We start from the raw sequence: 21,011 nt of genomic DNA, 5'->3' as shown, positions 1-21,011 counted from the left end.
AAGCTCTGAAATAATCTCCTTTGACTCCATGTCTCACATCCAGGTAATGCTGATGCAAGAGGTGGGCTCCCATGACCTTGGATAGCTCCATCCCTATAGTTTTGCAGGGTACAGCTTCCCCTCCCAGCTGATTTCACAGGCTGGCGTTGTGTCTTTTCCAGGCTCACAGTGTGAAGTGTCAGTGGATCTACCATTCTGGGGTCTGGAAGACAGTAGCCCTCTTCTTACAGCTCCACTAGGCAGTGCCACAGTGGGGACTCTGTGTGGGGGCTCCAACCCCACATTTCCCATCCCCACTGCCCTAGCAGAGGTTCTCCATGAGGGCCCCACCCCTGCAGCAAACTTCTGCCTGGACACCCAAGTGTTTCCATACATCCTCTGAAATCTAGGCAGAGGTTCCCAAACCTGAATACTTCTGTGCATCCGCAGGGCCAGCACCATGTGGAAGGTGCCAAGGCTTGGGGCTTGCACCCTCTGAAGCAACAGCCTCAGCTGTACCTTGGTCTCTTTTAGCCACAGCTGAAGTGGCTGCGACACAGGCACCAAGTCCTGATACTGCACACAGGAGGGAGGGCCCTGGACCCAGCCTATGAAACCATTCTTCCCTCCTAGGCCTCCTGGCATGTGATTGGAGGGGCTGCCCCCAAGGTCTCTGACATGCCCTAGAGACATTTTCCCCATTGTCTTGGTAATAAACATTCGGCTCCTTGTTACTTATGCAAATTTCTGCAGTGGGCTTGAATTTCTCCCCAGCAAATGGATTTTTCTTTTCTATCACATTGTCAGGCTGCAAATTTTTCAAACTTTTATGCTCTGCTTCCTCTTGAATGCTTTGCTGCTTAGAAATTTCTTCTGCCAGATACCCTAAATCATCTCTCTCAAGTTCAAAGTTCCACAGATCTCTAGGGCCGGGGCAAAATGCTGCCAGTCTCTTTGCATAGCAAGAGTGACCTTTACTCCAGTTCCCAAAAAGTTTTTCATCTCCATCTGAGACCACCTCAACCTGGACTTCATTATCCATATCACCATCAGAATTTTGGTCAAAACCATTCAACAAGTCTCTGGGAAGTTTCAAACTTTCCCACGTCTTCTTGTCTTCTGAGCCCTCCAAGCCTCTAGGAAGTTCCAAACTTTCCCATATTTTCCTGTCTTCTTCTGAGCCCTCCAAACTGTTCCAACTTCTGCCTGTCATCCAGTTCCAAAGTCACTTACACATTTTTGGGTATCTTTACAGAAGCATCCCACTCTCTGGGGTACCAATTTACTATATTAGTCCATTCTCACACTGCTATAAAGAACTACCTGAGACTGGGTAATTTATAAAGGAAAACGGGTTTAATTGACTCACAGTTCCACATGGCTGGGGAGGCCTCAGGAAACTTACAATCATGGCAGAAGCCACCTCTTCACAGGGTGGCAGGAGAGAGAATGAATGAGTGCCAAGTGAAGGGGGAAGCACATTATAAAACCATCAGCTCTTGTGAGAACTCGCTACCACAAGAGCAGCAGCATGGGGGTAACTGCCCCCATGGTTCAATTACTTCCCACTGAATCCCTCCCACAACACATAGAGATTATGGGAACTACAGTTTAAGATAAGATTTGGGTGAGTACACAGTCAAACCGTATCAGTAGGCACCAAGTAACTATGTATTAACTGAATAAATGAATGCATCCCATTCATTAAATGTGCCAGATGCTCTGTTAGTCCAATGTGCATGTATATACACTCATTCACTCCTTGAGACATTAACTTAGTTTGGGAATGATTAAATCTATGCTTTGCTATTTATAGTTTTTTTTGTTTTGTTTTGTTTTTTTGAGATGGAGTCTTGCTCTCTTGCCCAGGCTGTAGTGCAGTGGCACGATCTCAGCTTACTGCAACCTCCACCTCCCAGGTTCAAGTGATTCTTTTGCCTCAGCCTCCCAAGTAGCTGGGACTACAGGCAGGCGCCACCACGCCCGGGTAATTTTTTTGTATTTTTACTGTAGACAGGGTTTCACCATGTTAGCCAGGAGGGTCTCGATCTCCTGACCTCATGATCTGCCCACCTCGGCCTCCCAAAATGCTGAGATTACAGGTGTGAGCCACCGCACCTGGTGCTATTTATAGTTTTTAATGCATACTCTATGTAAAGTCAACATTAAAGTATGTTCAGCAGATTCAGACCATCAGTCTGACTTTACTGCTTCCTGCTCAGAAATTGCCTCTTCTTAACCAGATTGGTCATGTGAATCACCTGTCTTCCGATCCAGTGTGAATCATCTTAGGTGTTGCTGCTTGCTTAAGGGTATTTATCATGAAACTTTGTTTGTCTCTGCTTATGTGTTTATGTAAAGCATCACTATTAGGCTCTGAGCTTAGTGGTTGATGTCTGCCGGGGTGTTTCTTTTAGGCCCTCTGCCCTGAACAATGCCCATCTGCCTGGTAGTCAAAATGCCTGCATGGCCCTTGAAGTTTTCTCTCTCTCTTCATCCCAACATTTGACCTTGATTTTGAGTGTTCTCTGCTAGCTGTGTTATCCCTGGCTCAGCTGTTTGTCAGGGAAGTTACGTCTTTGCATGGAGGTTGAACTTAATAAATGGCAGTATGGTGCAATGTTAAGAATACAGACATCAGAGCTAGGCTATCTGGGTTGAAATTCCATCTCTACCCTGAAGTGACTAATGACCTTTGTAAATTACTGCACCTAAATGGGAATAATGATAGTACCTATGTCATAGAGTTAATGTATGTAAGTAGGGTTAAGATCTGAGTTAGTATAACAGTGCATGGGATGTGCCTGGTAGACAGTAAGTACTGCATAAGTGTATATTATTATTGCTGACTATTGTGATCCTTCCTGTGTAACATTAATCATCTTAACAGTAGCCCCTTGTAGGCATGCCTGTTTAATTTCTTCATGCCAAATATACAGGGCAGTCTGGATTAGGATTTATCCCATTGTGCTATTTATTTAACCCATTGGTCCGTTGGTCACTCTTCCCTGTAGGTCCTGGGTGATAAAGTTGGGTCTTATTAATATCTGTCCCTCCAGTGTCCATGTGGTATACAGTAGGGTAGGGGAACAGTGAATGAGGTTGAAATGCAATGAGTGGCCTCAGACATAACATTTAAATTTTGAATTTGATGTTCAGTCTCTCTATTCCACAGGAAGGACCAGTGTGTGAATTTTAGGCTGTGTGCAAGGGTAGGGACACAGCTTTGGCCAGAGGAGTTTTTCCCAATATATTTCAATCATTCGTCCTATGGCCACACTTTAATTGGGACTCAACAGTCTTTGTTTATGGTGTTCTTGCCCCTCAGTGGGTGAAAAAGGGGAGAAGTAAGAAACTAAGACTCATTAACTCATCTGGCAGTTGGCCCTGCAATTATTAGATGTTTGTGACAGAGACTTCCTACCACCAACATACAGCTTCTCCCACAGAACTCCATCCTAGATTCTTCACGAACTTCCTAACCTCTCTGAATCGCAACACTTTCCCGGCTTTCTCCAAATTGATGCTGACTGCCTTAGAGTCTCGGTCCTGTCCTGAAGAATCCCGGAAAAATGCCTGTCCCCTGCCACCAGGAGCGGCCAGCAGGTGGCAGGGCAGCCCCACAATGCCTGGGTGGTTCTGCAGAGTCTGGTGCCTCTGGGCCAGCCCCCTCCCCAGCCCCTCCTGCACTGTGTGAGCTGTCTCCCAGGGGAGGAAGTGGTTAAAGGGAAGAAGCCAGCTCACAGGGCCCCCTTCTTTCCCCTTTCAGATGATAATGAAGGGGAGAGGAGCTGCAGTCTGGACAGACAGTGAACCCACCCCAACCCCAACGGGGACGATGATGCTGCCCCCTTTTCTACCCTTCTCAGCCCTTCTCAGGAAGACAGACGTTTCTCTGTCTTCCCATTCCTGGTCCAGGGCCTTCCAGTAGAATCAGGTTTTGTTGTGGACAGGTGGGGTAATTGCAGGATACCACTCTTCCCTGCCTGATGTGTCCAGCTTGTAGACTCTGAGTCAGCCTGGGTCCCTTGAGGACGATCCAAAACCTGGCCAGTGACCTGGAGAGAGACCTTTCATCTTCAGGAGAAATAGAGGGTCTCAAAGCCGTCTTTGCTGGGAGAACTCATGGCCAGGCATTTAAAGATACTCTCTCCTGTTGGGGGTGCCTGAGGAGACCAGCCTGGCTAGGCAAGGATGTAAGGCCTGGCTCCGGATAGGTCTGAACTAAAGGTGATGCTCTCCTCTGGGATGGTGGGGGACAATCAGCAGTTTGTTTGTTTTTAAATGAGGTGGGGTTTCACTGTGTTGCCTAGGCTTGTCTTGAACTCCTGGGCTGAAGCGATCCTCCCACTTCGGCTTCCCAAAGTGCTGAGATTACAGGTGTGAGCCACCGTGCCCAGCCTCATCTGTAGATTTGAGAACCACAAGGGAAAGGAGAATTATAATTAATTGATATCAAACTCAGTTCTCTTCAGCCCCACTGCCACTCCACTGCTTATCTTGCCTAGAATTTTCCAGCAGCTTCACTGGTCTGAAACCTCCCATCTTGAGTTCACCTTCTGGTTACCTTCCATGGGACTACCCAAGGGTCATCTTTCTGAAACACAAATCTGACCAGTTTCACTTTGCTCCTGCCTGCCCCCTCCCCATGCATCTCGTTTTATTAATATAATCCTGTGGTGGGGGAATCGTTGCCCTCAAAGTCATAAGCATGCCTGCCCTGCCCTCCCTCTAGTTCTGCCTCCAGCTCTGCTTCCTGTGCTTTTATTGTTTGTTTTTGTTTTGTTTTGTTTTTGTTTTTTAGAGACAGAGTCTCATTGTGTTGCCTAGGCTGGAGTGGAATGGCGCAATCTCAGCTCACTGCAACCTCCACCTCCGAGGTTTAAGTGATTTTCATGCCCCAGCCTCCTGGGGGTCTGGGATTGCAGGCACAGGCCACCACGCCCAGCTAATTTTTGTATTTTTAGTAGAGACGGTTTCATCTTGTTGGCCAGGTTGATCTCGAACTCCTGACCTCAAGTGATCTGCCTGCCTCGGCCTCCCGGAGTGCTGGGATTATAGGCGTGAGCCACCGTGACTGGCCCTGTCCTGTTTATTCTGCAGGAAGAGTAAGCCACTTGTAGTTCTCAAACACACCTTTCCGCCTTAGTACATTCTGTTCCCTGTTACCTGGAATACCCTTCCCTATCTTGTACACCTGGCAAGTTTCCATTCATGTTTGAAATCCTGCTCAGGTGTCCCCTCTTCTGAGAATTCTTCCCTGACACACCCCACCCTGCAGTGTTAATATCGACCTCCCTTGTGTAACTTAAAACACACTTCATCATGCTGGCGCATCATGCAGGCGCACATACCACACTGTATCTGTATTATAATCGTCTCTTCTGCAAGAACAAGGCCTGTCTCTTACTCTTCCTAATGTCCCTGGAGCTCAACACACAGTAACTGTTCAGTTAGCATATGTCATTGCCCTACCTTAGTCCAAGCAGGATAACTTGTACTGGGCATAGTGGAGTCTGAAGCTCACCTCACCTTAGGGTTCAGGAACACAGAACACACGGTGGAGGAGTTTCTATTTTTATTCACTTCTGTATAAAATCTTGGCTCTTTACTTACCAGGATGCCAGAGTCACTGTAAGGCTGCTATTTGAAATTGTTTTTAAAAAGGAGGATGGAGGGACTTTTGTTTTTTTTTTTTTTTTTTTTTTTACTATTTCTATAGAATGTACCAGAATCCCAGGTTTGATTTTCAAAATCAAAACCTTTAACATGACCCAAAAAATAAAAAAGACAGGTGGAGTTGGTGTACCTCCCTGCCCTCAGTTTATCCTACAAGGTCTCTGGAGCCTGGATAGAATGGGGAGGAGGGCTGTTGGGGGAGCAGCGAATAGAAGCTGTTCCTCCCCAGGTCACTGCGGTCCTCCCTGGGTGGCCTCTGGAGCCCTGGCTCTCCTGTCCTCTTACTCTGCTGGTAGCCTTTTTCTCAGAAAATCTGCTCTTCCATTTCCGCAATGATCTATTGCTATCTTTGCTGTTATTGCCCACCCTTCCCAATGGTTTCTTTTTTCTTTTATTTGTTGGGTAAGAAATTAAAAGGGTGTCCTTGGTTTGAAACCCTCTGAAACCCTCCTCAGCTACCATCCATCTGGTGGAGAGAATATCAGACTACACCTTCCTACCAAACAAGGATTAATGACACCCATTGGTAAGCACCTTGTGCATTTCTAGATTTTCCAAGAGTTATTACGCTGTATGATCATCACCTATCTGCCCACCCACTTCTACATGGTGTCTGTATTTGCCCATGCCTAGAACAGGGCAGATAATAGGTACGTAGGAAATGCCTGTTGACTGAATGAGGAATTTGGGAGGTGGTGCGTTATTGGCAATGACAAGGTTGGGGGTGTGACAATCAAACTGAGGAATGACATTGGTGGCATTCTTTTTTTTTTTTTTTTTGAGATGGAGTCTCGCTCTGTCACCCAGGCTGGAGTGCAGTGGTTCAATCTCAGCTCACTGCAAGCTCCGTCTCCCGGGTTCACGCCCTTCTCCTGCCTCAGCCTCCTGAGTAGCTGGGACTACAGGCGCCCACCACCATGCCCAGCTAATTTTTGTATTTTTTAGTAGAGACGGGGGTTTCACCGTGTTAGCCAGGATGGTCTCGATCTCCTGACCTCGTGATCTGCCCGCCTCGGCCTCCCAACGTGCTGGGGTTACAGACGTGAGCCACCGCGCCCGGCCGGTGGCATTCTTAAAATTCTCTTTTTCCCTCTCACCTTGACTCAATCCAGCTGAAAATCACATTGGCTGTTGTGGGAGCATTTACACTGTGGAAACTGGCAAATGCTAGAAAGCAGGGCTTTTTGTTCCCCCATCCAGAGAACTGGTTGTTAAGCATTTGCCGAGGAGCAGGAGTTGACTGTCAGCTCATTTAAAGGTGAGGGGGGCAGAGCGTGGAGAAACCATGCACCTGCTCAAGGAGACAGAAGTGGGGCTGGGCTGGGACTTGAACTGGACTCATGTCGTAAAAGGAATTTCTGATGGTGCCACCCTCCTGCTGACCACTGCTACTGCTTCAGTGTGTGGCACGAGATAGATGCTGAAGAGTGTTGGTCAAATGACTGAACAAGCACATGAATGACAGAGCTCTTTGAGGATGGGGTCGTGTCTGCATCATCATCTTTTGGCAAGCATCTGTGCACGTCCCCTGACCAGGGGTTCAATGGCTTTCATAGATTCTCTAATTTAGCTCTCCCAATAACTGTATGGGGCACCAGTACTATTCTCATTGTATACATAGGGAAGACTGAGGCTCTGAGTCCAAAATCAAAGCAAATGCTACTGACATCTGGGACCTGGCTCAGGCCCATCCAAAGGGCTAGCCTGGGCACCGCAGTTCTTATGCCACTCCCCAACCTCTCCCACCTGAAGCTCAGCCCCTCCTCTACTGCTCCTGAGGGTGTTGACCTCGGGGAGCAGGACCCTGGGGCCTCACACCCCGGCACACACCCAGCGTCTGAGAGCAGTGTGAGGCAACGGGTGGCAGCACTCCATGTTACAGTGCACAGCCAAGCACAGGATTCCGGTGACCTCACCCTCAGAAGAAGGCGCCCCACCTCGAGCCAGGCAGCCCCGCCCTGCTGGAGCCCTCCGGGCAGCCAGAGCTTAAAGGGTGCCCAGGGAAAAGGGAATTCCTTTAGCCATACACATACTTACGAGTTCAGGTTTGCAAATTGGACCTTCTACAGAAATTGTCCTTGGATGTGCAGAGAATATTTTCCTCTTTTTAAAGCACCAAGGGATCTCAGGCAAGATCTTTTCTATTCTTTCCCGTATGTTTAGATATTAAAGATGTGATTTCCTAACACATGTCAGACATGATTCCCGAGAGTTAAATGGGAAAGAAGATAATACTCAAGAGAACTCTAGGCTGACAGGTGGTAGCGTGGGCTTGAAGTCCCAGCCACTCACTGTCTCTGTGGTCTTGGCCAAGATACTGTACCTTTTGGTACCTCAGTTTCTTTGTCTGTAAAGTGGGATCACAATGCCACCACCTTCCCTATACCACTGACTTCACAGGGATGTTATGAAGTGTCCAGTGAGAGTGCCGAGTTCCTCTCCTCCACAGCTGTTTTTCAGTGTGGGTGCTTAGTTTTTCAATGTAGATGTGAGTGACTTTGTTTGGTCCTACCCATATTGGACCAACTCTGACTCAAGGTCAGAGTTTATGCCTTTCCTATGCAACCACTGACCCTCAGAGCCCAGCACAGTGCCTGGCTAGGATAGATGGACGGGAGGCTGGGATAGATGGATGACTTAAGGAATGAATGGATACTCTTGCCAAAGTCTGTTACCATTATTAAGGGTAAATTCAGGATTGAGGATGCCCTGGAAGAGAGTCTTAGAAAATATTCAGTTGCCCTGGAATTCAGGGAGAGTACCTGATACTTGCATGTTATTTCCAAGGCTTCCCCTCCTCCTTCTGGTGCAGCTGGTAACTCAGAGGCCAGTGTTTCCTTCAGGGGGAAAAAAAAAGGCCGGATGCGGTGGCTCACACCTGTAATCTCAGCACTTTGGGAGGCAGACCACAAGGTCAGGAGATCGAGACCATCCTGGCCAACATGGTGAAACCCCATCTCTACTAAAAATACAAAAATTAACTGAGCGTGGTGGCGCATGCCTGTAATCCCAGCTACTTGGGAGGCTGAGGCAGGAGAATCACTTGAACCAGGGAGTCGGAGGTTGCAGTGAGCCGAGATAGTGCCACAACACTCCAGCCTGGTGGCAGAGGGAGACTCCATCTCAGAAAAAAAAAAAAGCAGCTTCAGTCTGCTTTGACCGAAGGCATGAGGACTGCAGGGCATCTTGGCCTGTCCTTGTAAGGACTGCATTGGGTTTGATCAGCCCTGTGGTGATCAGGACATGCTGCGTCCACCTGTGCCACGTGGAGGAAGGATGGGGGGTGAACTCAGAGCTGGCACAACCAGCAGTGGCTTGGGGTAGGGTTGTCAGATTTAGCAAATAAAAATACAAGACACCCAGTTAATACTTAGATAGACAATGAATGAGTCTAAGTATATCCCATGCCATATTTGGAGAGACTTATACTACAAAATGATGTATTGTTCATTGGAAATTTGGATTGGATGGAAAATTTGGATGTCCTGGATTTTATCTGGCCTCTCTGCTTATGGAGGGCAGCAACAAGAGACACTGCTGGCTCTGCTACCACGGGGCCAGTGAGAGGTTGGCCTTAGAGCTTCCTTGTTTTCTGGCTGGGAAGAGCCAAACCAGATCCCCCTATTGACCCCATTCTCAGAGAGCAGCTTTCCTTGCCTGTGAGGAGGGCTGTCCGCCACCAGCAGGGAGGGAGGGAGCAAAGCTGAGGGGACAGTCCAGAGCCAGACGGCCTGGGTACTGTGGGCTCTGGTCCCTGTTTTCCTTCTCAGTTATGTGACCTTGGGCAAATCCAACCTCCGAACCTCACATTCCTCAGCAGGAAGGCAGGGTCATGGAATATCTTCCTGGAAGGGTAACTGGAAAGATTAGAGATAATGACATGGGTGGAGCTGGTACACGGCTTAGGCTGTCCTAAGAGGCCCTGAAATGGTAACTGTTATTAACAATTAATTGCAATTACTAATTGCTGGTGAGTATAATCGTTGTGGAAGCCAGGGGGAAGGAAGCCATTTGGCCTGCCTCTCAGCTCAGCTGGATGTGCTGGAGGGCTGTCTTCCAGAAACCCTAGAGGAGGGTGTCGAGATCCTGGCGGGCTGGCAGTCCCTCCGCTGTGAGGATGAGGTGCCGACTCCAAGTCAGTCCCCTCCTCCTAGAGTTGGTTGAGAGGCTTAGAGTGGAGACACACAACTCTCTGTTGAAGACACTTGGCTCTGAGGAACAAAATCCTTGTGCCTCTCTCCACCGCTTCCCCTACCCCTAAGGCTCTCCTTGAACAAGGGCAGGCCCTGCCTGTTTGTGTGGGGAAATGAAGGGGTTTCTGGGATGGCTGGAGGGGCTGGGGGTGGAGATAGGAAGGGCCTAATGAAGGGAGTTTTGTCACTTTCTGCTTGCTTCATTCCATCACTCAAACACACCACCCAACACCACCTGGAGGGGCTCTGGACTTCATTCCTCTCCCTCTGGGCACCCACGCTGCACCCCCTGCCCCTCCCTACCCCCTCGCAGTCCTGGCCCTGGTGTCTGGGGGAGGGAGGGGTCCTGGGCATTCCTCAGCAGCCTACCCCGTCGCCTGGAGACAGCTCCGTTTTCCCAGGCCCGGCCCCTTTTATCAGGGAGACAATGTGCACACAGTGAGGGCCTTGTGCGGCACCCAAGCCCCGAGCCCTTTGACTTGAGGAATTTTTCAAGTGCTGACCCCTCTCCGTGAGGTCTACACGCTGTCCAATCCAGCGGCCCGGTGCCCCTGCTGCTTCCTACCCAGCTCTTTCGGGGAGGAGGGGGGAACAGTGAAGAGTTGTTACCCCCGCCCTAGTGGAGTCTTAGGGGAGAGCTTCACCCTCGGAAACAGGAGCTAGAAAATCTGGGGGAAATGGCTTTGAGCAGAAGAGAGTGTGGGGAGAAATCTGATGGGTGCTGTTTCTTCCTAAATTTCTCTCTTCTTGGCTGCCTTTCTAAAGAACTCTGCAGATGCTGTGGGGTCTTGAGGCTGGTGCTGAGGGATCACCTTCTCTGGCCTCTGTTTCTCCTATGTGAAACAGTGAGGTTGGCCTAGGAGCATGGCCCCCAAAAGACTTTCTATCACAATGACATTCAGATTCCCAGGCACCATCTACACCCTCTGTGTTGGATACAGTTCTTTGCATGAAAAAGAAATAGACTTTGGGCCGGGCATGGTGGCTCACGCCTGTAATCCCAACACTTTGGGAGGCCAAGGCGGGTGAATCACAAAGTTAGGAGTTCGAGACCAGCCTGGCCAATATGGTGAAACCCCATCTCTACTAAAAATACAAAAATTAGCAGGGCGTGGTGGCGGCATGCTGTAGTCCCAGCTACTCGGGAGGAGAATCACTTGAACCCAGGAGGTGGAGTTTGCAGTGAGCCGAGATCGCGCCACTGCAATCCAGCCTGGGCGACAGAGCAAGACTCCATCTCAAAACAAAACAAAACAAACAAACAAAAGAGATTTATTGAAAATGTATGGGGAAGCTTGCAGAAGCAAAGGAAAATAGGGAGACCTGAGTGTCAGAAAGATGGGGCTGTTGGGTCCCTGGATCCCCGGGCCCCTCCACAGATCTAGGTGGCAGGAACAGTCTCAGGATACATCAGCTTGAGTGTCAGAAAGATGGGGCCATTGGGTCCCTGGATCCCTGGGCCCCTCTACAGATCTAGGTGGCAGGAACAGTCTCGGGATAAATCAGCTCCTGCTTGCTTTCATCCTTGTTTCTCTCTGTTCAAAAATCAAATTCCTGGGGAAGAACAAGCCCGGCTTGTTCTACTCCTTGCTCTGCGGGCACTTTGGGACAGTCCCACCAGGACTGCACAAAAAGAAGGCTTGCTTCCATCAATGCAAATGCAAATAGAACTGCTGTTACCAGAAGAAGGCAGAATGGATACAGGACAGGCCACACGGAGATGTTCCCCTGCAATGATGGAATCAGAATATCTAGACTGGAGCTCAGGAGATGAATTTATTTTTATTTTTATTTTTATTTTGAGATGGAGTCTCGCTATGTCACCCAGGCTGGAGTGCAGCAGAGTGATGTTGCCTCACTGCAACGTCCGCCTCCCAGGTTTGAACAATTCTCCTGTCTCAGCCTCCCCAGTAGCTGGGACTACAGGCACATACCACCACGCACAGCTAAGTTTTGTATTTTTAGTAGGGACGGGGTTCCACTATATTGGTCAGGCTGGTCTTGAACTCCTGACCTCAGGTGATCCAACTGCCTTGGCCTCCCAAAGTGCTGGGATTACAGGCGTGAGCCACCACGCCTGGCAGAGATGAATTTTTTAAGTGGTGTAAGGCCAAGTTTAGAAACCCCCCAAGCTAGAGGACTTGTTTCATGACGCTCCCACCTGGTAGAACTGGAACCAGTGGGGGAGAACAAAGAGGGAGACATATTTAAGCTCAGTATACAGAAAATTCATCTAATTGGCAAAGTCATCCAGAGACTGAGTGGGCTTCCTGGTGAGGGAATGAGCTCCCCTCAGGTGCAGGTGTTCAGACACAGCTGGGCTACCCATTTGGGAAAAATAATGGGGCTTAGACCATGAAAGGGTCAGGCTGCAAGCCTTTAAAAGGGAGGCTCGGCCCTGAAGTCTTTTGTTTTCTCTCTGATGTCTTCTCTATCACTTCTCATGCCCTTGCCTTGGGCAAAGTCTGAGGAGTTTCAGCGTTTCACTTGTGAGTCGTGTTTTCTCCTCCACAACCTGGTTTTCTGGCCCAGGCCCTCCAAGTGACCTTTTTTCCAAAGAGTCCCTCGGATGCACGGGTCTTCTTGAGCAATAGCTACTCCTGGGGTGGAGTAGATTTCTGCCTGAGTTACAGCCTTGCCCTGGGGGAGGCAGGGCTCTGGGCAGATGCCAGCCTCATTACAGAACGTCTAGGAAGCCCTTGGGGCCTGTGGAGGCCTGCCTGGGACGTGCATCTTCGACAGGAGAGAGGCCATCTGTGGTGGCAGGAGAAGGGATGGTGCTTCATTTCCATTTTCCTGACTTTCTGCCCTGGGTTTGCAGAAGGGACAGGAGTGTGGGTTTCCTGAAGATTTGCACTAAGCTAATTGCCATCTTCAGAATAGGCTTAGCGAAATTAGGGGTTGTCTGTGCAGCTGCTCAGAGGGGACAAATCAGTCCGTGAGTGAAGGGGCAGGTGGTAGGAAAAAGCACAGGCATAGAGAAATATTTCCCTGCTATAAGAAAAACAGCAGCATAGGCTCTATGACAGATGATATCTGCCACTTGGCTTCGGCTGCAGAGAGATGACAGGGAGCACTGGGAACTGTGTTGGGCGTGAGAACCGATGCCTCCTCTGAGGCAGCAGCTGCAGGCCCCGCAGCCAGTTTTTACCATGTGGGAATAAGGGCCTGGTGTTGTCGAGTTATTGATTTTCAAGAAAAGTCAGAAATCTGAATTTTTATATGAATGTTCTATTATTACTATTATTATTATTATTATTATTATTATTATTATTTGAGATGGAGTCTCACTCTGTTACCCAGGCTGGAGTGCAGTGGTGCAAGCTTGGCTCACTGCAACCTCCGCCTCCCGAGTTCAAGCTATTCTCCTGCCTCAGCTTCCCCGGTAGTATGCACCACCATGCCCGGCTAATTTTTTTTTTTCTTTTTTTGAGACGGAGTCTCACTCTGTTGCCCAGGCTGGAGTGCAGTGGCACTATCTCGGCTCACTGCAACCTCTGCCTCCTGGGTTCAAGCAATTCTCCTGCCTCAGCCTCCTGAGTAGCTGGGACTACAGGCACCACGTCCAGATAATATTTTTTGTGTTTTTTTTAGGAGAGACAAAGTTTCACTATGTTGGCCAGGATGGACTTGATCTCTTGACCTTGTGATCTGCCCACCTTGGTCTCCCAAAGTGCTGGGATTACAGGCGTGAGCCACTGCGCCCAGCCAATTTTTTTTGCATTTTTAGTAGAGATGGGTTTTCGCTATGTTGGCCAGGTTGGTTTCGAACTCCCCACCTCCAGTGATCCGCCCACCTCAGCCTCCCAAAGTACTGGGATTACAGGCGTGAGTCACCTTGCCAGCGAATATTCTATTTTAAAAGTATACAATTTAAGTGCAACAAAACAAGACTGTGGATTCTATGAGGTCTACTAGTTGGCAGCTTCTGATAAAGAAGACAGGAGTCAGAGTAACTATTTGGTCTAGTTCCTCTTCTGGGACTATCTCCTGGCTAGACAGTAAAAACCAGGATGGCAAGGGGGCTGTTTTGTTCAGTGCAATTTCAAGGGCCTATGTAGCACAGTGCTGAGAATATAGTATGTCCTAGATGGATGGATATGTGGATGGATGGGCGAATGTGTGGATGGATGGGTAGATGGGTGGGTAGGTGGGCGGATGGATGGATGGATGGATGGATGGATGGATGGATGGATGGATGGATGGCTGGATGGATGGATGGATGGGTGGATGGATGCATGGATGGATGAATATGTGGATGGATGGGTGGATGGATGGATGGATGGATGGATGGATGGATGGATGGATGGATTCATGGATGGATTCATGGATGGATTCATGGATGGGTAGTTGGGTGGATGAATGGATAATAAATGGTCTTAGCCTCTCTTTTGGTGCTCTGCACTTTTCACCTTGACAGGCTCCACTTTCCCTTGCCAAACAAGACACACAATATCCCCGTGATCCCCTTATCCTCCTTATGCCATCAAAAACCCTTTTCTGGGATGATCAGATGTTAGTCACTTGCACCTTGGCATGAATTACTTTTTAGTATATTACCTTTCCTGTGGGGATTTCCCCAGTTGGGCCCTTAGTAGATGCTCAATAAGTGTTTGCTGAAGGCATGATGTAGCCTTCCAAACGTTAACCCTTTCTGTGGTATGAAGAGTGTGAACTTGCAGACATCTGTAGGAATGAGGGTGACATAGTGCTGTGTCTTTAGAGAGGAGAGGGGTAGAGGGAGTGGGTGTTTGATGCCTTTTTTTTTTTTTTTTTTTGAAGATGGAGTCTCACTCTGTCACCCAGGCTGGAGTGCAGTGGCTTGATCTTGGCTCACTGCAACCTCCGCCTCCTGGGTTCATGCATTTTTCCTGCCTCAGCCTCCCGAGTAGCTGGGATTACAGGCGCATGCCACCATGCCCGGCTAATTTTTGTATTTTTGGTAGACACGGGGTTTCACCATGTTGGCCAGGCTGGTCTTGAACTCCTGACCTCAGGTGATCCACCCGCCTCGGCCTCCCAAAGTGCTGGGATTACAGGCATAAGCCACCGTGCCCGGCCCTGATGACTTTATTTACCCTAAAGGCCTATGCTGGAGAGGAAGGGAGTTCCCAGGGATTAGACAGGGAAGGTCTCCATCATGCTCGACACCAAGCAAGGTTTCATTTAGAGCAAGGCAGATGCTGCCATCTACCTCCTCTTGGAGAGAGAAAATGACCTGTCATGTTCTTAGGGACATACCCAGCTGACCTCGACCCTCCACCCATCATGCTGATGCACAGGAGGGAAAGAGATGAACATTAGTTAAACACCTGCCATGTGTCAGGGGTATCATTCATGGGGTCCTTACAGCAGATATAGTAATGTCCTTATTTTTACAGTTAAGGAAACCAAGGTTCAGGAAGGTTGACACTGGCCTGAGGCAGCACTGGAAATAAATAGCTGAAAGGGACCTGGGCTTGTCTCCAAGGCTAGTGGTGCTCACGCACTTCCTTACCTGGGGAGATCAAATTCTACCCTTGCAGCCCATCGGGGAGCAGCTCATTTGCTAGCACATTCTTGGCAGGTTACAGAGGCCCTTAAATCTGTGTCTTCATATAATCCTGTTGACAACATGTGAGTAGATCTTCTTATCCCCATCTACGGAAGAGGAAGCAGAGGCTGGTCCAAAATCAGGCAGCAGGTGCCAGAGCTGCCAACTCAAACCCAGGTCTTCTGCTCTGTGCCTGTTGTACATTAAAGGACACACCCAGGAACATTCATTTCTCTCCTGGGTGCCCCCAGGACGTACCTACTTCCTTTGCCCTTGCCCGTGTCCTTTTGGCAGACACACACATCCAGATCCTGCTGCACTCATCTTTGCAGCCCTGGCAAAGACTAGGTACCAAACATTGGATGGATGGGTGGACGGTGACCTCAGGAAGGTGACCCCTGACCTTCAGACTGAGTTGGCTGCTTTTTCTGTGGGCTGAGGGGGATATTTGTGTGAATGCTCTGTGTGGTCATTTTCTATTTTTGTGTCTGTCCCTCCCATTAGGTAGTAAGCCCCCTGAGACCAAGAGCTAGCTATGTTGTCTTTGCGCTTGTTTCCTTAAAGCCTGCAGACTCTGGCACATAGTAGGTGGTCTATCTGTGTATGTTCAGCGTCTTTGAAAGAAGCCTTTTCTACCAACTGAAGTCCAATTTCCCCTGCACCCCACATCTTATCCTCAATCACATTGGTTGTGCATTTTATTCATAGTACTTTTCTTTTTATCTATTTATTTTATTATTATTATTATTATTATTATTATTATTATTATTATTTTGAGACAGAGTCTTGCTCTGTTGCCAGACTGGAGTGCAGTGGCGAGATCTTGGCTCACTGCAACCTCCACCACCCGGTTTCAAGCAATTCTCCTGCCTCAGCCTCCCAAGTAGCTGGGATTACAGGCATGCACCACCATGCCTGGCTAATTTTTGTATTTTTAGTAGAGATGGCGTTTCACCATGTTGGCCAGGATGGTCTTGATCTCTTGACCTCGTGAACCGCCCACCTCGGCCTCCCAAAGTGTTGGGATTACAGGCATGAGCCACTGTTCCCGGCCTCAGTGTCTTTCAAAGAAGCCTTTTCTACCAACTGAAGTCCAATCTCCCCTGCACCCCACATCTTATCCTCAATTCCATTGGTCGTGCATTTTATTCGTAGTACTCATTCTTTTTATCTGTTTATTTATTTATTTTTTGTCTTTTCAATAAGCATGTAAGCTCTCCAAGAACAAGGACTACATCTGCCACTGTATCTGCTGTATCTACTCCTATGCCTGGTGTGGTGCCTAGTCCACATAAGGCTCAATAAATAGTGATTGAATGAGGGAGTGAATAAGTGATGTGAATTGTGATCAGATCCTGCCCACAAAAATCTCCTTCTCTATTGTTCTCAGAGGCAAAAGGTGGGGATCATTTGTCACATCCTGTGGCTCGGGGCCCTGTTATGTCTCAGTTTTTTGCCTCCGCAGATCCCCATACAGGCATAGGGAGTCTCATCACTCTTAGTGCATTCCTTCCCTTCCTAGTTCATTGGACCTTGCTAATTGCATGGAGGACTGAGAGGCTGCACCATTGTTTGCGGTTGAGGGGGCGGTTCCTCCCTCTGGCAATGGGAAGGTGCCAGGAGGGTGAGCTGTTCTCAGGAGAAAACAATGGAGCTAGAATCAGATCTTGGGTCCCTTTGCGTTCCAAGGTCTTTCTTCTGCCACATCTCTGCCCATCCAGCCTGCCACGTGACTCTCTTGCTAACTGGCAAAGTCTCTGAGTGTTTTGCCTTCATTTTCTGCACAGCCCATTGGTTGTCTTCCCTGCTTCTGCCTGGGCCACAAATCAGCAACTGACATGTTGCATCAGAAACATGAAAATCTCTTTCTCTATTTCCACTCCACCCCCAGTGGGGGTGGCCTGCGGAGAGACAGCTGTCCCTGGGACAGGACATTCCTGACCTCTCCTTCCTTGGAAGGACATCACCAAGCCCTGGCTGCGTTAACTCTACATACAGGATCGATTTATTGGAAAACAGTCCTGTTTGAACACAGATCCTGTTTGTATGAATTCCCCTTCTTCTGCCCCTGCTGCAGCCACAAAAGAGCCCCATACCCATTCCTCATCAGTCTCTCTCATACACACTTCCCACCTCCCTCAACTAGGGATTTCCCACCCCAGGCAGCACCAGTTTTATAATATTCTTCTTCCTGGGGCCTCAGATGTGGCAGTAAAATATGAGACCACCCACGGAGAGAGAATCTTCGTGGAATCCAGAGCTCCCCCAGGCCAAGGACTTGATTGATTGGCTGAGGTATTCAGGGAGCTTATTATGAGATTGAACATATTAGGGTGGGAAGAGGAGGCAGCCATGAGAGACAGAGCCCTTAGGCACAGCGGGTCCATCCATTTTGCCTGAGGTCAAACAGCCAGTCAATTACAGAGGCAGCAACCCCAGCCCCCAAAGGCATCTAGAATTCCAGACCATCCCTACCCTTCCCTCTGCCAGACAGAACCGTTCAGAGGCGGCTGAAGCCTGAATGAGCCCCCGGCAAGGAGGCAGCAGTCTGTGTGGCCCATCAGGAGACAGACTTCTGACTTGCAGCCAGGCGGGGGGATGGACTCCCTGACCCTCAGCTTCAGCCCCAGTCCGTCTGCCAGGCCCTGCAGTAAACATTCCAGAGATGGGCAAAACAAATGTTTCTCCTGGGAAGGTGAGGTCTCATCAAGACCACAGCTGCTTGGGTGGTATTGGTGTAGTGCAAAGTGCTTCAGGTTCCAGGTTAGAATCAAGTCGAGGAATGCCAGTTGCGAAGGTTGGCCTCGTACACACCCCCACATCGCAGTGGCTGTAGACCTGTGACTGTATTACAATGGTGTGCCAGTAGATGGCAGTCAAGTGTCTCCAGGAAAGGCCGGCCTACAGACAGTATTTCCTTACCCGGTCAGCGAACATTTGTTAAGCCTGTTGTCCTGTGCCCTAGCTCATTGTGCTGGATACTGGAGACACAGTGAGCATGGAGACTCAGTTTCTGGTTTCCAGGAGCTCACAGACTATATGTTTGGGGGCAGAGGGCAGCTAAGTGATGTGTAATGACAACGTGAAGTGGTAAGGGCTGGAATGGTTGTAAGTGCAGCGTGCTGTAGGAACCAAGGGAGGACGCTCAGCCCAGCTAGGGAAGGGGGTGCTGTCAAGGAAAACTCAGCAGAGTAGATATCACTCATAGGATCTTGAAACATGAGAAAGAGACAATCAAGGAAGTGCCAAGCAGAGGTGAAGGCCTGTGCAGAGGTTCAGAGGCAGGACAGCACAGGAGTATTTAGAGAAGCACAGGAATTTGGATGCAACCATGAAATAGACAGCAAACTGGAGGGGAAGCAGACCCCCAGTCAGCAGGGTCCAGATCATGAAGGACGCCAGGGCTCTGGACTGGATCCAAAAAGTCTGAAAGACCACTTAGGGTCTCCAGGAAAGGTACCCAAATTCTTCCCTCTAGAGTTTGGGTACCCAGATCACTCGTGTGACTTTGAGCAGAGACTTCTCCATCTGGAACACGTTGGGAGCAATCCCTGCCCTACCACCCCTCAGGGTTGGCATGAGGGTCAAATAGGAGGAAGGATGTGAAGGGTCTGGCTGTCCTTATAGGCCAAGGCCACCTCTTTTCCCCATCACCAGCCATCACTCCTTGCACCTGTGAGACAGATCAAAGCAAGGTGAGTCATAATTCTGCTTTGGAACCCCCAAGAGGGTAAGATTGTTTTGTTTATTTGTGGGTCCCCAGCACACAGCACCCACTAGGCACAGGGTAAGCACTCGATAGCTCTTTGCTCTTGTGGATTCTGTTTCAGGCCATGGACTACATACTTTGCAGCTTACTGTGTGCCAGGAACTATTCTCAGTGCTTTGTATGCCTTGTTTCATTTAATCCTCATAACAACCCTGTGAGGTGGCTACTACTATGAGCCTCATTTCCTAGGTGTGGAAACTAAGGCATTCAGAGGTTGGCTTACCCAAGCTTGCACAAGTGAGTGGAGGAGTTGGGGTCCTATCCAGGCTGTATGCCCTGAAGCCATTGCACTTTACTGCCTTGTTGCATAGAGGATTATGTGACTTTCTCACCACACCCTTCCCTGGTAGTTACTGTCACCACTTGACAAATGAGGAAACTGAGACCCAGAGGGCTAAGTGTCTTGTCTTAGAACACATGGTCAGTGAGTAGTAGAGCTAAGATTTTGCCCAAGCCTGTGTGATTGCAAATCCATGTTTTTTTTCCCAGTATGCTGGTGATTGTAATGATAGGTTACCATTCCCGGTCCCAGGCCCACCCAGTACTTCTTTTAAATTTGGAGCTTGGATTTAAAAGCAAGTGATTTTTAAATCCACGAAAGATGCCTACCTTGGATCCTGCTCTGGTCCTTATTAGCCACACCTCTCTTGACAGGCAGAGGAGTTAGGAGTGAGGGGATATTCCCACCAAGACCCTACAAATTGCACTCTTAGGCCATGCCCTGGGTACCCAAACTCTAGAATTCCCTCCTCAAAGGGACCTTAACCCAACTTCAGAGCCTATATAGGCCAATTCCTTGGTCCATTTTCCAAGGGGTGGCCAAAGGACAACCATTTGGGGAGGGGAAGGGAGTAGATGAAGCTTGGCCACGTGGTCTGGGCAATCCACATACCCGCACCAGGAGCCTCAGTGGTGCAGAGGAGAGTGGGTGGGGAATTAAGGAAGATCTTGGGTGAGGTCTGAGAACCAAGAGCTGGCAATCCTTGTGCTGCCACGTGCTGGGTAGAGTGCAAAGAATTCTGAGAAGTTTACATTCTGAGTCTTTAAGGTCATTATGAAATTGTATCTGCCAAGGAAGGAAGACAGACTCTTTGGGACTCTTTTTTTCTTTTTTCTTTTCTTTTTCTTTTTCTTTTTTTTTTTTTTTTTTGGATGGAGTTTCATTCTTGTCGCCCAGGTTGGAGTACAATGGCGCAATCTTGGCTCACTGCAACTTCTGCCTCCCAGGTTCAAGCGATTCTCCTGCCTCAGCCTCTCCTGCCTCAGCTGGAATTACAGGCGCCCACCACCACTCCTGGCTAATTGTTTGTATTTTTAGTAGAGATGGGGTTTCACTATGTTGGCCAGTCTGGACTCCAACTCCTGACCTCGTGATCCGCCTGCCTCAGCCTCCCAAAGTGCTGGGATTACAGGCATGAGCCACCATGCCCAGTGGACAGATGTCTTTTATTTAAATGTTTGCTGGCTTGATTTTGTCAATTTTAAATATTAGACATATGACCCATAGGTTTCCATTTGTCGCTTTGCCCCAGGCACTTCAAATACTAGACATGGGCTTGTCCTGGTGTCTGGAATTTGCTGATACTACCTTTAAGGATTACGATAAAATTCACAAACTGTATGAAAAGATTCTCTTTGCATGAGGCTGTCCACATGGGTATTTATTTGAAGACCATTGCTGAAAGAAAAAAAAAATCAAAATCTTGCTTTCGAGTCATACTAATAGTTCCTTTCCTACTAAACTACCGCCTAGTTGACATCTAAGCCCATCAGGACGTAAGAAAAAGTGGTGCTAATATCAGAGCTGTCAGTCAGTTTTGGGAAGAGATTAACTCCACCAGCATCAGCTAAGAGTAGG

The 21,011-nt window shown here is 48.7% G+C and overlaps 1 protein-coding gene across 17 annotated transcripts in view, besides 2 other annotated features; it reads left to right on the top strand.

Moving 5' to 3' along the window:
- The window catches only part of SYN3 (synapsin III), a 550,562-nt gene that overhangs the window by 53,917 nt on the left and 475,634 nt on the right, over window positions 1-21,011 (top strand). The gene's annotated exons all lie outside the window — the stretch shown is intronic.
- Window positions 16,610-17,511: an enhancer, noted in NCBI's record as "H3K27ac-H3K4me1 hESC enhancer chr22:33382939-33383840 (GRCh37/hg19 assembly coordinates)". NCBI's record gives its function as "activates a minimal SCP1, AML or CMV promoter by ChIP-STARR-seq in naive H9 embryonic stem cells {active_cell/tissue: H9 hESC(naive)}" and the evidence as "EXISTENCE:reporter gene assay evidence [ECO:0000049][PMID:30033119]".
- Window positions 18,087-18,381: a silencer, noted in NCBI's record as "tiled region #592; HepG2 Repressive DNase unmatched - State 12:CtcfO, and K562 Repressive DNase unmatched - State 12:CtcfO". NCBI's record gives its function as "represses a minimal TATA promoter and a strong SV40 promoter by Sharpr-MPRA in HepG2 and K562 cells {active_cell/tissue: HepG2 | K562}" and the evidence as "EXISTENCE:reporter gene assay evidence [ECO:0000049][PMID:27701403]".

The sequence above is a fragment of the Homo sapiens genome, chromosome 22, assembly GCF_000001405.40.
Source record: "Homo sapiens chromosome 22, GRCh38.p14 Primary Assembly".
Taxonomy (NCBI): domain Eukaryota; kingdom Metazoa; phylum Chordata; class Mammalia; order Primates; family Hominidae; genus Homo; species Homo sapiens.
Note: the sequence above shows the minus strand (reverse complement) of the source record. Positions and strands in the feature narration are given on the sequence as shown.